Source organism: Homo sapiens, chromosome X (assembly GCF_000001405.40).
Source record: "Homo sapiens chromosome X, GRCh38.p14 Primary Assembly".
In the NCBI taxonomy this organism is placed as follows: Eukaryota; Metazoa; Chordata; class Mammalia; order Primates; family Hominidae; genus Homo; species Homo sapiens.
Genome location: NC_000023.11, coordinates 14,449,375 through 14,462,428, shown reverse-complemented (window position 1 = coordinate 14,462,428; position 13,054 = coordinate 14,449,375). Strand labels below are relative to the sequence as shown.

At 39.3% G+C, this 13,054-nt stretch overlaps 1 protein-coding gene across 1 annotated transcript in view; it reads right to left on the bottom strand.

Annotated features, from left to right (window-relative positions):
* GLRA2 (glycine receptor alpha 2) overlaps positions 1-13,054 on the bottom strand; it is a 283,034-nt gene that overhangs the window by 269,384 nt on the left and 596 nt on the right. The gene's annotated exons all lie outside the window — the stretch shown is intronic.

Below are 13,054 nucleotides of genomic sequence, written 5' to 3'. Positions count from 1 at the left end.
TATTATCCAGGAGAACTTCCCCAACCTAGCAAGGCAGGCCAACATTCAAATTCAGGAAATACAGAGAACACCACAAAGATACTCCTCGAGAAGAGCAACCCCAAGACACTTGTCACATTCACCAAGGTTGAAATGAAGGAAAAAAAAATGTTAAGGGCAGCCAGAGAGAAAGGTCAGGTTACCCACAAAGGGAAGCCCATCAGACTAATAGCTGATCTCTCGGCAGAAACCCTACAAGCCAGAAGAGACTGAGGGCCAATGTTCAACATTCTTAAAGAAAAGAATTTTCAACCCAGAATTTCATATCCAGCCAAACTAAGCTTCATAAGCAAAGGAGAAATAAAATCCGTTACAGACAAGCAAATGCTAAGAGATTTTATCACCACCAGGCCTGCCTTACAAGAGCTCCTGAAGGAAGCACTAAACATGGAAAGGAACAAGAGTACCAGCCACTGCAAAAACATGCCACATTGTAAAGACCATCAACGCTATGAAGAAACTGCATCAATTAACAGGCAAAATAACCAGCTATCATCATAATGACAGGAACAAATTCACACATAACAATTTTAACCTTAAATGTAAATGGGCTAAATGCTCCAATTCAAAGACACAGACTGGCACAATGGATAAAGAGTCAAGACCCATCAGTGTGCTCTATTCAGGAGATCCATCTCACGTGCAAGGACACATATACGCTCAAAATAAAAGGATGGAGGAAGATCTACCAAGTAAATGGAAAGCACAAAAAAGCAGAGGTTGCAATTCCAGTCTCTGATAAAACAGACTTTAAACCAACAAAGATCAAAAGAGACAAAAAAGGCCATTACATAATGGTAAAGGGATCAATTCAACAAGAAGAGCTAACTATCCTAAATATATATGCACCCAATACAGGAGCACCCAGCTTCATAAAGCAAGTTCTTAGAGACCTACAAAGAGACTTAGACTCCCAAACAATGATAATGGGAGACTATAATACTCCACTATCAATATTAGACAGATCAACGAGACAGAAAATTAAGAGGATATCCAGGACGTGAACTCAGCTCTGGACCAGGGAGACCTAATAGACATCTACAGAACTCTCCACCTCAAATCAGCAGGATATACAGTCTTCTCAGCACCACATCACACTTATTCTAAAATTGACCACATAATTGGAAGCAAAACACTCCTCAGCAAATGTAAAAGAACAGAAATCACAACTGTCTTTCAGACTAGAGTGTAATCAAATTTAAACTGAGGATTCTCACTCAAAACCGCTCAACTACATGGAAACTGAACAACCTGCTCCTGAATGGCTACTGGGTAAATAATGAAATGAAGGCAGAAATAAATATATTCTTTGAAAATAATGAGAACAAATACACAATGTACCAGAATCTCTGGGACACATTTAAAGCAGTGTGTAGAGGGAAATTTATAGCACTAAATGCCCACACGATAAAGCAGGAGAGATCTAAAATCGACACTGTAACATCACAATTAAAAGAACTAGAGAAGCAAGAGCAAACACATTCAAAAGCTAGCAGAAGACAAGAAATAACTAAGATGAGAGCAGAACTGAGGGAGATAGAGACAAAAAAAACCCTTCAAAAAAAATCAATGAATCCAGGAGCTGGTTTTTGGAAAAAATCAACAAAATTGATAGACCACTAGCAAGACTAATAAAGAGGAAAAGAGAAGAATCAAATAGACACAATAAAAAATGATAAAGGGGATATCACCACTGATTCCACAGAAATACAAACTACCATCAGAGAATACCATAAACATCTCTACGCAAATAAACTAGAAAATCTAGAAGAAATGGATAAATTCCTGGGCACATACACCCTCCCAAGATTAACCAATCCCTGAATAGATCAATAACAGGTTCTGAAATTGAGGCAATAATTAATAGCCAACCAACCAAAACAGCCCAGGACCAGATGGATGCACAGCCAAATTCTACCAGAGGTACAAAGAGGAGCTGGTTCCATTCCTTCTGAAATTATTCCGATCAATAGAAAAAGAGGGAATCCTCCCTAACGCATTTTATGTGGCCAGCATCATCCTGATACCAAAGCCTGGTAGAGACACAACAAAAAAAGAGAATTTTAGACCAATATCCCTGATGAACATTGATGTGAAAATCCTCAATAAAACACTGGCAAACCGAATTCAGTAGCACATCAAAAATCTTATCCACCACAATCAAATCGGCTTCATCCCTGGGATACAAGGCTGGTACAACATACGCAAATCAAAAACGTAATCCATCACATAAACAGAACCAATGACAAAAACCACATGATTATCTCAATAGATGTAGAAAAGGCCTTCAACAAAATTCAACAGCCCTTCATGCTAAAAACTCTCAATAAACTAGGTATTGATGGAATGTATCTCAAAATAATAAGAGCTATTTATGACAAAACCCACAGCCAATATCATACTGAATGGGCAAAAACTGGAAGCATTCCCTTTGAAAACTGGCACAAGACAGGGATGCCCTCTCTCACCACTCCTATTCAACACAGTATTGGACGTTCTTGCTAGGGCAGTCAGGCAAGAGAAAGCAATAAAGGGTATTCAAACAGGAAGAGAGAAAGTCAAATTGTCTCTGTTTGCAGATGACATGATTGTATATTAAGAAAACCCCATCATCTCAGCCCAAAATCTCCTTAAGCTGATAAGCAACTTCAGCAGTCTCAGGATACAAAATCAATGTGCAAAAATCACAAGCATTCCTATACACCAATAACAGACAAACAGAGAGCCAAATCATGGGTGAACTCCCATTCACAATTGCTACAAAGGGAATAAAATACCTAGGAATCCAACTTACAGGGGATGTGAAGGACCTCTTCAAGGAGAACTACAAACCACTGCTCAATGAAATAAAAGAGGATACAAACAAATGGAAGAACATTCCATGCTCATGGGTAGGAAGAATCAATATCGTGAAAATGGCCATACTGCCCAAGGTAATTTATAGATTCAATGCCATCCCCATCAAGCTACCAATGACTTTCTTCACAGAATTGGAAAAAACTACTTTAAAGTTCATATGGAACCAAAAAAGAGCCCTCATTGCCAAGTCAATCCTAAGCCAAAAGAACAAAGCTGGAGGCATCACGCTACCTGACTTCAAAGTATACCACAAGGCTACAGTAACCAAAACAGCATGGTACTGGTACCAAAACAGAGTTATAGACCAATGGAACAGAACAGAGCCCTCAGAAATAGCGCTGCATATCTACAACTATCTGATCTTTGACAAACCTGACAAAAACAAGAAATGGGGAAAGGATTTCCTATTTAATAAATGGTGCTAGGAAAACTGGCTAGCTATATGCAGAAAGCTGAAACTGGATCCCTTCCTTACACCTTATATAAAAATTAATTCAAGATGGATTAAAGACTTAAATGTTAGACCTAAAACCATAAAAACCCTAGAAGAAAACCTAGGCAATACCATTCAGGACATAGGCATGGGCAGGGACTTCATGTCTAAAACACCAAAAGCAATGACAACAAAAGCCAAAATTGACAAATGGGATCGAATTAAACTAAAGAGCTTCTGCACAGCAAAAGAAACTACCATCAGAGTGAACAGGCAACCTGCAGAATGGGAGAAAATTTTTGCAATCTACTCATCTGACAAAGGGCTAATATCCAGAATCTACAATGAACTCAAACAAATTTACAAGAAAAAAACAAACAACCCCATCAACAAGTGGGCGAAGGATATGAACAGACACTTCTCAAAAGAAGACATTTATGCAGCCCACAGACAGATGAAAAACTGCTCATCATCACTGGCCATCAGAGAAATGCAAATCAAAACCACAGTGAGATACCATCTCGCACCAGTTAGAATGGCGACCATTAAAATGTCAGGAAACAACAGGTGCTGGAGAGGATGTGGAGAAATAGGAATGCTTTTACACAGTTGGTGGGACTGTAAACTAGTTCAACCATCGTGGAAGTCAGTGTGGCAATTCCTCAGGGATCTAGAACTAGAAATACCATTTGACCCAGCCATCCCATTACTGGGTATATACCCAAAGGACTATAAATCATGCTGCTATAAAGACACATGCACACGGATGTTTATTGTGGCACTATTCACAATAGCAAAGACTTGGAACCAACCCAAATGTCCAACAATGATAGACTGGATTAAGAAAATGTGGCACATATACACCATGGAATACTATGCAGCCATAAAAAAGGATGAGTTCATGTCCTTTGTAGGGACATGGATGAAGCTGGAAACCATCATTCTCAGCAAACTATCACAAGGACAAGAAACCAAACACCACATGTTCTCACTCATAGGTGGGGATTGAAGAATGAGAACACATGGACACAGGGTGGGGAACATCACACACCGGGGCCTGTTGTGGGGTGGGGAGGGGGAGGGATAGCATTAGGAGATATACCTAATGTTAAATGACGAGTTAATGGGTGAAGCACACCAATATGGTACATGTATATATGTGTAACAAACCTGTACACTGTGCACATGTACCCTAAAACTTAAAGTATAATAATAAAAAAAAAAGTCAAGAAACGACAGATGCTGGAGAGGTTGTGGAAAAATAGGAACACTTTTACACTGTTGGTGGGAGTGTAAATTAGTTCAACCATTGTGGAAGACAGTGTGGGGATTCCTCAAGGATCTAGAACTAGAAATACCATTTGACCCAGCAATCCCATTACTGGGCATATACCCAAAGGATTATAAATCATTCTACTATAAAGACACATGCACATGTATATTTATTGCTGCACTATTCACAATAGCAAATACTTGGAACCAACCCAAATGCCCATCAATGATAGACTGGATTAAGAAAATGTGGCACATATACACCATGGAATACTATGCAGCCATAAAAAAGGATGAGTTCATATCCTTTGCAGGGACATGGATGAAGCTGGAAACCATCATTCTCAGCAAACTATCACAAGATCAGAAAACCAAACACTGCATGTTCTCACTCATAAGTGAGAGTTGAACAATGAGATCACATGGACACAGGGAAGGGAACATCACTCACTGGGGCCCGTGGGGGGTGGGGGGCTAGGGGAGTGATAACATTAGGAGAAACACCTAACGTAGGTGACGGGTTGATGGGTGCAGAAACCACCATGGCACATGTATGCCTGTGTAACAAAACTACATGTTCTGTACATGTAACCCAGAACTTAAAGTATAATTTTTAAAACAAGTGGTAAAATGATCTTAACAGACATTTTTCAAAAGAAGAAATACAAACGGCCAAGAAATATTTGAAAAAAATTTAAAAAAAAGCTCAACATCACTAATCATCAGAAAAACGCAAAACAAAACTACTGTGAAGTATCATCTCATCCCAGTTAGGATGGCTAATATCAAGAAGACACAAAATAACAAATGTTGGTGAGGACGTGGAGAAAAAGGAACCCTTTTACACAGTTGATAGTAATGTTAAACTAGTACAGCCACTATGGAGAACAGTATGGAAGTTCCTCAAGTAACTACAAATAAAACTACCATAAGATCCAGCAATCTCACTACTGGGTACATATCCAGATGAAAGGAAATTAATATACTATAGAGACATCTGCCCTCCCATGTTTATTGCAGCACTATTCGCAATAGCCAAGACATAGAATTAATCTACGTGCCCAACAACAGATGAATGGATAAAGAAAATATGGCACATACACATGATGGAATATTATTTGGCCATAAAAATAATGAGATCTTGTCATTCATGGTAACATGGACGTAACTGGAGGACATTATGTTAAGTGAAATAAGCCAGAAAAAGAAAGTTAAATACCACATGTCCTCACTCATATGCAAAAGCTTAAAAAAGTTGATCTCGCAGAAATAAAAAGTAGACCAGAGGACACCAGAGGCTGGAAAGGGAGAAGGGAGGTATAGGGGGAGATTTGTTAAAGGATACATACAAAACAGCTAGATGGGAGGACTGGGTTCTAGTGTTCTGTAGCACTGTAGACCTAATATAGCTAACGATAATATATTTTATAGATTCAAATAGCTAGAAGGACGACATTGGATGTTCCTAACACAAAGAATTGATAAATGTTGGAGATAATGGATATGCTAATTACCCTGATATGATCAGCATACATGACATGTATCCAAACATCACTATGTACCCCATGAATATGTATAAATGTTAGGTGTCAATTAGAAAATAAAATATAAAAAAGAAAAGAAAAATTATTAAATATGACCAAATAGGGTTAAAAACTTAATAGACCATGGAAAAAAATTTAAAATTCTCAAGATTCTTTCTTCCCCCACAAAGGCCACTGTGATCAGATAGTTCTTCAGATTAGGGTTATCATATCGTCTAGGAAATAAAAATCATGTGTATTCTATTTAAATCATTCCAAAGGTAAGGAAAAAAGTCCAAATTTATGTCTGAGAGACTAACCTAACTCTGATATGAAAATCAGATAAGGACAATGCCTCTCCCTCAAAGAAAACTGTTGACTAATTTCATTTACGAATATAACTCAAACATTAGCAAATTGAACATTAAAGTGGATTTTAAAGGAATATACATGGTACACAAAGAATTCAAGGATAAATCAATATCAAAAAACAATTTACATAATTAAAAAAGTAAAACCCATATAATCATCTTAACAGATTCATCTGCTAAAATTAAACACAAATTCATGATAAAATGATTCGTAAGTAGTGAATAGAAAATTATGCCTTTAATTTGAGTAAATATATTTATCAGGAACCAAGAACAAACTTCTTCCAAATAGCAAAATATAGACATGTCCATTAAATATAGGAACAAGACAATGATCCCTACCATGAAACTATTTTTCAACATATTTTGGGGCAACAAGAAATGCTTATTTATTTATCTAAATCATTATTTAAAACAAATATCACTTTTAGTGAGATAAGTTGATTTTTAGCCTTTAGTTTTTCCTCAAAAAAATGTGTCAGATAATTTCTTAAGTTACCATATTGCTCACTGAATAAAGAGAAATTCTCTTTCACATTTTACAGATACACAATATCATTGTCCTATGTGATTTTCCAGATGTTTTCTGAAATCATGCTGACACTCGTTCCATCTTGGCTTGACACGTAGACTATAATTATCTTCTAAGTGTCAAATAAATCAAACAGAAGAGAGTTGAAAAACCTAAACTTATCTTCTCCTGTTGCTTTCTACCTTCTATGGTTTCAGAAATAGCAATATCCTTCATTTTACAAAGCAAGTTTTATATCTTTGGTAGGCCATTCTCTGAATTCTCATTAGTACCAGAGGTATGATAGTGGCTGATTTTGAGGTAAAGCTACTAGCACCACTGCAACAGGGATGGCAAATCACTGTTCATCTTAAAGGTAATAAAGATATATTCTTAATTTAGCAAATTAACAGAAGAACAAACACATTAGGCTGACATTTACATAGGTGATGTCCATCAAGTTCTAATTAGAAACATATTAATTAGAAATGTTGAATAAATAAAACTTGGAATGGGATAGCTATTTTTAAAACTTCAATTTTGTTTAAATGTCAGTCATATTTATAGTCTCTAATGAGGTTAATTTTTATATCATTGTTTAGTTCTAAGAATCATAGCATATTGGACACAAGTTACAGTCTAGTAAAGGATGAACTTATTTCAAGTGCTATATTTGTATTGATGGCAACAGACAATGTTTACTTAGCCTAGTGAAGCATGTGTAGGTAGGAGGGACAGACAGGGGCATTTGCAACCAAAATGGTACAGTGGAAGGGGATCACTATAATTTTTATAACTAGTGATATTAGGAAATTATCAATAAGGTTGGACACGCTTTTTTTTTTTTTTTACCTTGAGGGCTTACACTTTATTTGAGAAAAGAAGACAAAAATCACAATGAACTTACGCATAAAAAGGATATAATTTACTGAAAGGTTGTACAATCCAAACATTATTATTTTCAAACTATGTGGATCTGAATTCATTTTTTTAAAGTTTTTAGTTTGAGATAATTGTAGATTCCCATGCAGTTGTAAGAAATAACACAGAAAGAGATCCTGTGTACTTTTACCCAGTTTTACTCCATAATAACATCTTTCAAACTATGGTACAACATCTCAACCAGACTACTGACATAGCTACAATCCACTGAATTTGTTCAGATTTCCCTTGGTTTCCTTGAACTCATGTATGTGTGCGTGTGTGTGTGTGTGTGTGTGTGTGTGTGTGTGGGTGTGTGGGTGTGGGTGTGTGTGGGTGTGTTTAGTTCTATACAAGTTTATCAGAATGGTAGGCTTTTGTATCCATCACTACAGCATAATCCTGAACAGTTCCATCACCACAGTGTTGCCCTCTTAAAACCAACTCACCTTTCTACTACGCTCCCTCTCCGCTTAACACCTGGCAACCACTAATCTGTTCTTTACTATGATTTTATGTCAAGATGTTATACAAAGAGAATTTTGTAATATGTAATTTTTTGGGATTGGCCTCTTTCACTCAGCATAATTCTCAGGAGATTCAGCCAAGTTGTTGTGTGTATCAATTGCATATTCTTTTTATTGCTGAGTAATATTCCATGGTATGGATGTACCATAATTTACTTAACCATTTGCCCATTGAAGGACATCTGTGTTGCTTCCAGTTTTGGGTTATTATGAATAAAGGTGCTTTGAATATTTGTGCACAGGCTTTTGAGAAAACCTACATTTTCATTTCCCTTGGATAAATAAATGCCCAAGAGTGCAACTGCTGTGTGATATGGCAATTGCAGGTTTAGTTTTATAAAAAGCTGCCAAACTGTTTTCCTGAGTAGCTATTATCATTTTACATTGCCACTAGCAGCACCTGAGTGATTGGATCCAGTTTCTCCACATCCTTGCCAGCACTTGATGGGTCACTATTTTTACTAGCCCATCTATTATAATAGATGTTGAATGTACTTTTAATCCAGGATTCTCAACATCAGCCTATTGATATTTTGGACTGAATAATTATCTGGTGTTGGAAGGAGGGCTATTCTGTGATTGTAGGATGTTTAGCCATACCCCTGACCTCTACCTACCAAATGTCAGTAGCATGCCCTATCCCCTACCCTCCACCCCTTCTTGCCTTTATTAAAATCAAACATGTCTTCACACATTGCTAAATGTCCCAAAGAGGCAATATCTTCCCTGTTTGAGAATCATTATAATTTATCATGACATTCTAAATCTAAAACAAGATCACTAGTGCTCATTTATCTCCTCTGGGCTCTTTCCCTTTTTTGGGAAATATAAAACTTTTCTTAACACTCCACTCTCTTTCTCTTTTCCAACCAATCCCCTTAACGCATCACCCAGATCCATAAGATTATAAACCTGCTACGATGACTTATTGGACTAGAACCAAAGTGAAATTGCTTTCATATGATCTTGTTCAGGCTACTAACTCTCAAATTATCTCCATCAGCTAGGAATGTGTCTACTCCCATTTGTTTGCTAGGTGCTAGTCTCAGGCAGAAGCAAATTCAGAATATCTGTGAGATGAGAAAGGCGAGGAAAACCTGAAAAATAGGCTTTTTAAAAGGGAGGTGGTGCAGATTAGAAAGAATCCAGGTTAAAACAGAATATGCTGCAAGTTGGGAAAAACTAAAATTCCAGCCACTGTACCTGCATACTCTTATCACTAAGCACAAAACTCTGCACCTAACTTTAGGTATATGTCCGAACACTAATCCCCCCACTTCTCAGTCTATTAAAATACTTCTCATCCTTCAAAGCTCAGATCAAGTACTATCTCTTCTGTAACACCTTCCCCATTCCAGCTGGAACAAAATAAGCTTTCCCCTGGATTCTGCCAACATTTATCTCCACCTTGATCATTACTAGGACTCGTATCATTCTGTCCATGCTTTGATTATGTGTGCATCTCTGCCCATCCTGAGATGGCTAGCTTCTTGAATTTCATTTAGCAAAAAGACCAGGGCAAGAATGCCTGTGCAGTGGTACAGTAGGTTATGTAGAAGGCAGAATGAAAATGGATAGAGAAGAAACAGGCAGCATAAAGAGAATCAAAGAAAGGGTCATTTTAAAGTCAGAACTTTTAGGGAAATTTGGGGCTAAGCCCACCTTGAAATTTGTATCCAAGAAACTTCTACAACTGGGATAAAAGAAAAAAAACTGTTGACTGTGAAATAGAGGAAGGAATATTTTGAGTGAGTGGTTCTTAAATGGAATCACCTGGAAGGTTTCTTCTTTTAAAAAAATGTAAGCTTTGACTTTAGATTCAAGGGTTGCATATGCAGGTTTGTTACATGGATATATTGTGTGATGCTGAGTTTTGGGACATGAATGCTCCCATCATCCAGGTAGTAAGCATAGTACCCAACGGTCATTTAGTTTTCCCTCTTTCCATCATGACATTCCAAATCTATGTAAAATGAAATTACTAATGTTCACTTATCTCGTCTGGGCTCTTCCTCTTTTTGTAGAAAAAAATGTTGGGTGCATATATATTTAGAATAGTTAAATCTTGTTGTTGAATTCAACCCTTTATCATTATGTAATGACCTTCTTTGTCCTTTTTTTATGGTTGTTGGTTTAACATCTGATTTATCTGATATAAAATAGTGATTCTTGCCCTTTTTTTCATTTGCATGATAGGTCTTTCTCCTTTCCTTTGAGCCTGTGGGTGTCCTTACCTGTGAGATGGGCCTCTTGAAGACGGCATATAGTTAGGTCTCGGTTTTTTAATCCAACTTGCCACTCTGTACCTTTTTTTTTTTTTTTTTTTTTGGAGACAGAGTCTCACTCTGTTGTCCTGGCTGGAGTGCAGTGGTGTGATCGTGATCTTGGCTCACTGCAACCTCTGCCTCCTGGGTTCAAGCAATCAAGCAATTCTCCTGCCTCAGCCTCCCGAGTAGCTGGGACTACAGGCGCACACTGCCTTGCTTGGCTAATTTTTTGTATTTTAGTAGAGATGGGTTTTACCGTGTTGCCCAGGCTGGTCTCAAACTCCTGAGCTCAGGCAATCCACCCACCTCGGCCTCCCAAAGTGGTGAGATTACAGACATGAGCTACCACACCCAGCCCACTCTGTGCCTTTTAAGTGGGGTCATTTATACCATTTACATTCAAGGTTAATATTGACATGTGAAGTTTTGATCCTATCATGTTGTTGTTAGCTGGTTGCTTTATAGTCATGATTGTATAGTTGTTTTATAGGGTCTGTGGGCTATGTGCTTTCATGTGTTTTTATGGCAGCAAATGTTCTTTTGTTTCCATGTTTAGAACTGTCTTAAGAATCTCTTGTAAGGCTGGTAACAAATTCCCTTAGTGATTGCTTGTGTGGAAAAGATTATTTTCCTGTATTTATGAAGCTAAGTTTGGCAGGATATGAAATTTTTGGTTGGAATTTTTTTTTTAAGAGTGCTAACATAGGACTGGGCATGTTGGCTCACACCTGTAATCCTAGCACTTTGGGCAGCCAAGGCAGGTGAATTAGAGTTCAAGACTAGCCTGTCCAACAAGGCAAAACCTCATCTCTATTAAAAATACAAAAATTAGCTGGGTGTGGTGGTGTGCACCTGTAATTATAGCTACTCAGGTGGCTGAGGTGAGGTGGGAGGATCACTTGAATTTAGGAGGTGGAGGTTGCAGTGGGTCAAGACCATGCCACTGCATTCCAGCATGGATGATGGAGTGAGACTGTGTCAAAAAACAAAACAAAACAGAATGCTAAAATAGGCCCACAGTCTCTTCTGGCTTGTAAGGTTTCTGCTGAGAAGCCCACCGTTAGCCTGATGGGGTTCCCTTTTAAAGTAATATGCCCCTTTTCAATAGTGGCGCTTAAGAGTAAGGGCCATCTCTTTACATATAAAGCAGATGGACTCTTACTTATCCATGCATCTGTTTTGTATTTCAGTGCATATAGAATGGTGATCTAGGGAGGGCAAGAGATGACTCCCTCATCAGGTCTATTCCTGGGCCTAGGCAGAGCCCCCTACAATTACTGGCGCCACACCTGCATTTCCTTAGCCCTAAGTGGGGCGTTGGCAGGCTGCACTCCCTGCTCCCTCAGGGGAAGTCTGAGCTGAAGGTTAGGTCACCAGGAGGCCTGCAACTCTCCTCCAATAACCCACTAGTCCTCTGAGCTTGGCAAAGTCAGAGCAGGTTGTGGAGTATGTCTGCAGGTGGTCTTGTGATGCACTGGGCCAAGGGTGGAGGATCCCCAAGCAGGGCCCTTGTGCCATGGCTGTGCAACTTGTATGGCACCTGTAGCCTGAGGTTTTTAGCCCAGCAAACATCTGTGTGGCCCACACAGCTCACGCTCCCCCAACTAGGTCTCTCTCTGGCATCTGCCTCAGGAGTAATCCCAACAAGCTAGACTTGTCCCAAGCCTTCTGCTCCCTCTAGGGAGCACTGTCACCTGGAACACCTGGGCTCCCTGAGGCAGTATCTGTGGCTGGATGACAGGCTACACCCTTCCTGGACTGGTCTTGTGCAGGGAGGGATAGCTAGCTCCTGTGCCAGCACATGAGCCTATACCACACTCTTCTCAGTGTTCTGAAACTGGGCGCTCCTCCCCAACCTCAGCTCAGGCCACAGATCTCAGCTGGATACCCCTGGACAGTGTGCTCAAATCCTGGGGTATTGTGATGGGGCCCACAGTTTTGTCTGCTGGCCCATTGGGTCAAACACTGGCTGTGCTGACAGGATGGGGGCTGGGGTGCTGAACTGCTCCCAGGCTGCAGGCAAAACATTCAGGCAGGGAATTGGAGGTTGTGCTGTGGGCACCCTCCTGTGGGAGACCCAGGCAGGTAGTCTTGGGAGGGGATGGCAGGCAAGTGGGCACATGGATCAGGTGCACCCTAGTTATGTGGGAATGACAGCTCTGCTTTCTCCCCACCTGGCCATCAGCAGGGCTAGAGCCACTCAGAGCAAGATGGAGAGCCTTGGGGGATGGGTGCCTATGGCTGCATTTTACTGAAGCTGCATCTGGCACTATGACACCTTCTGGACTCCACACAGGTTTAAGCTCTGCTTCCTCTGGGGAGTTCCCCTTG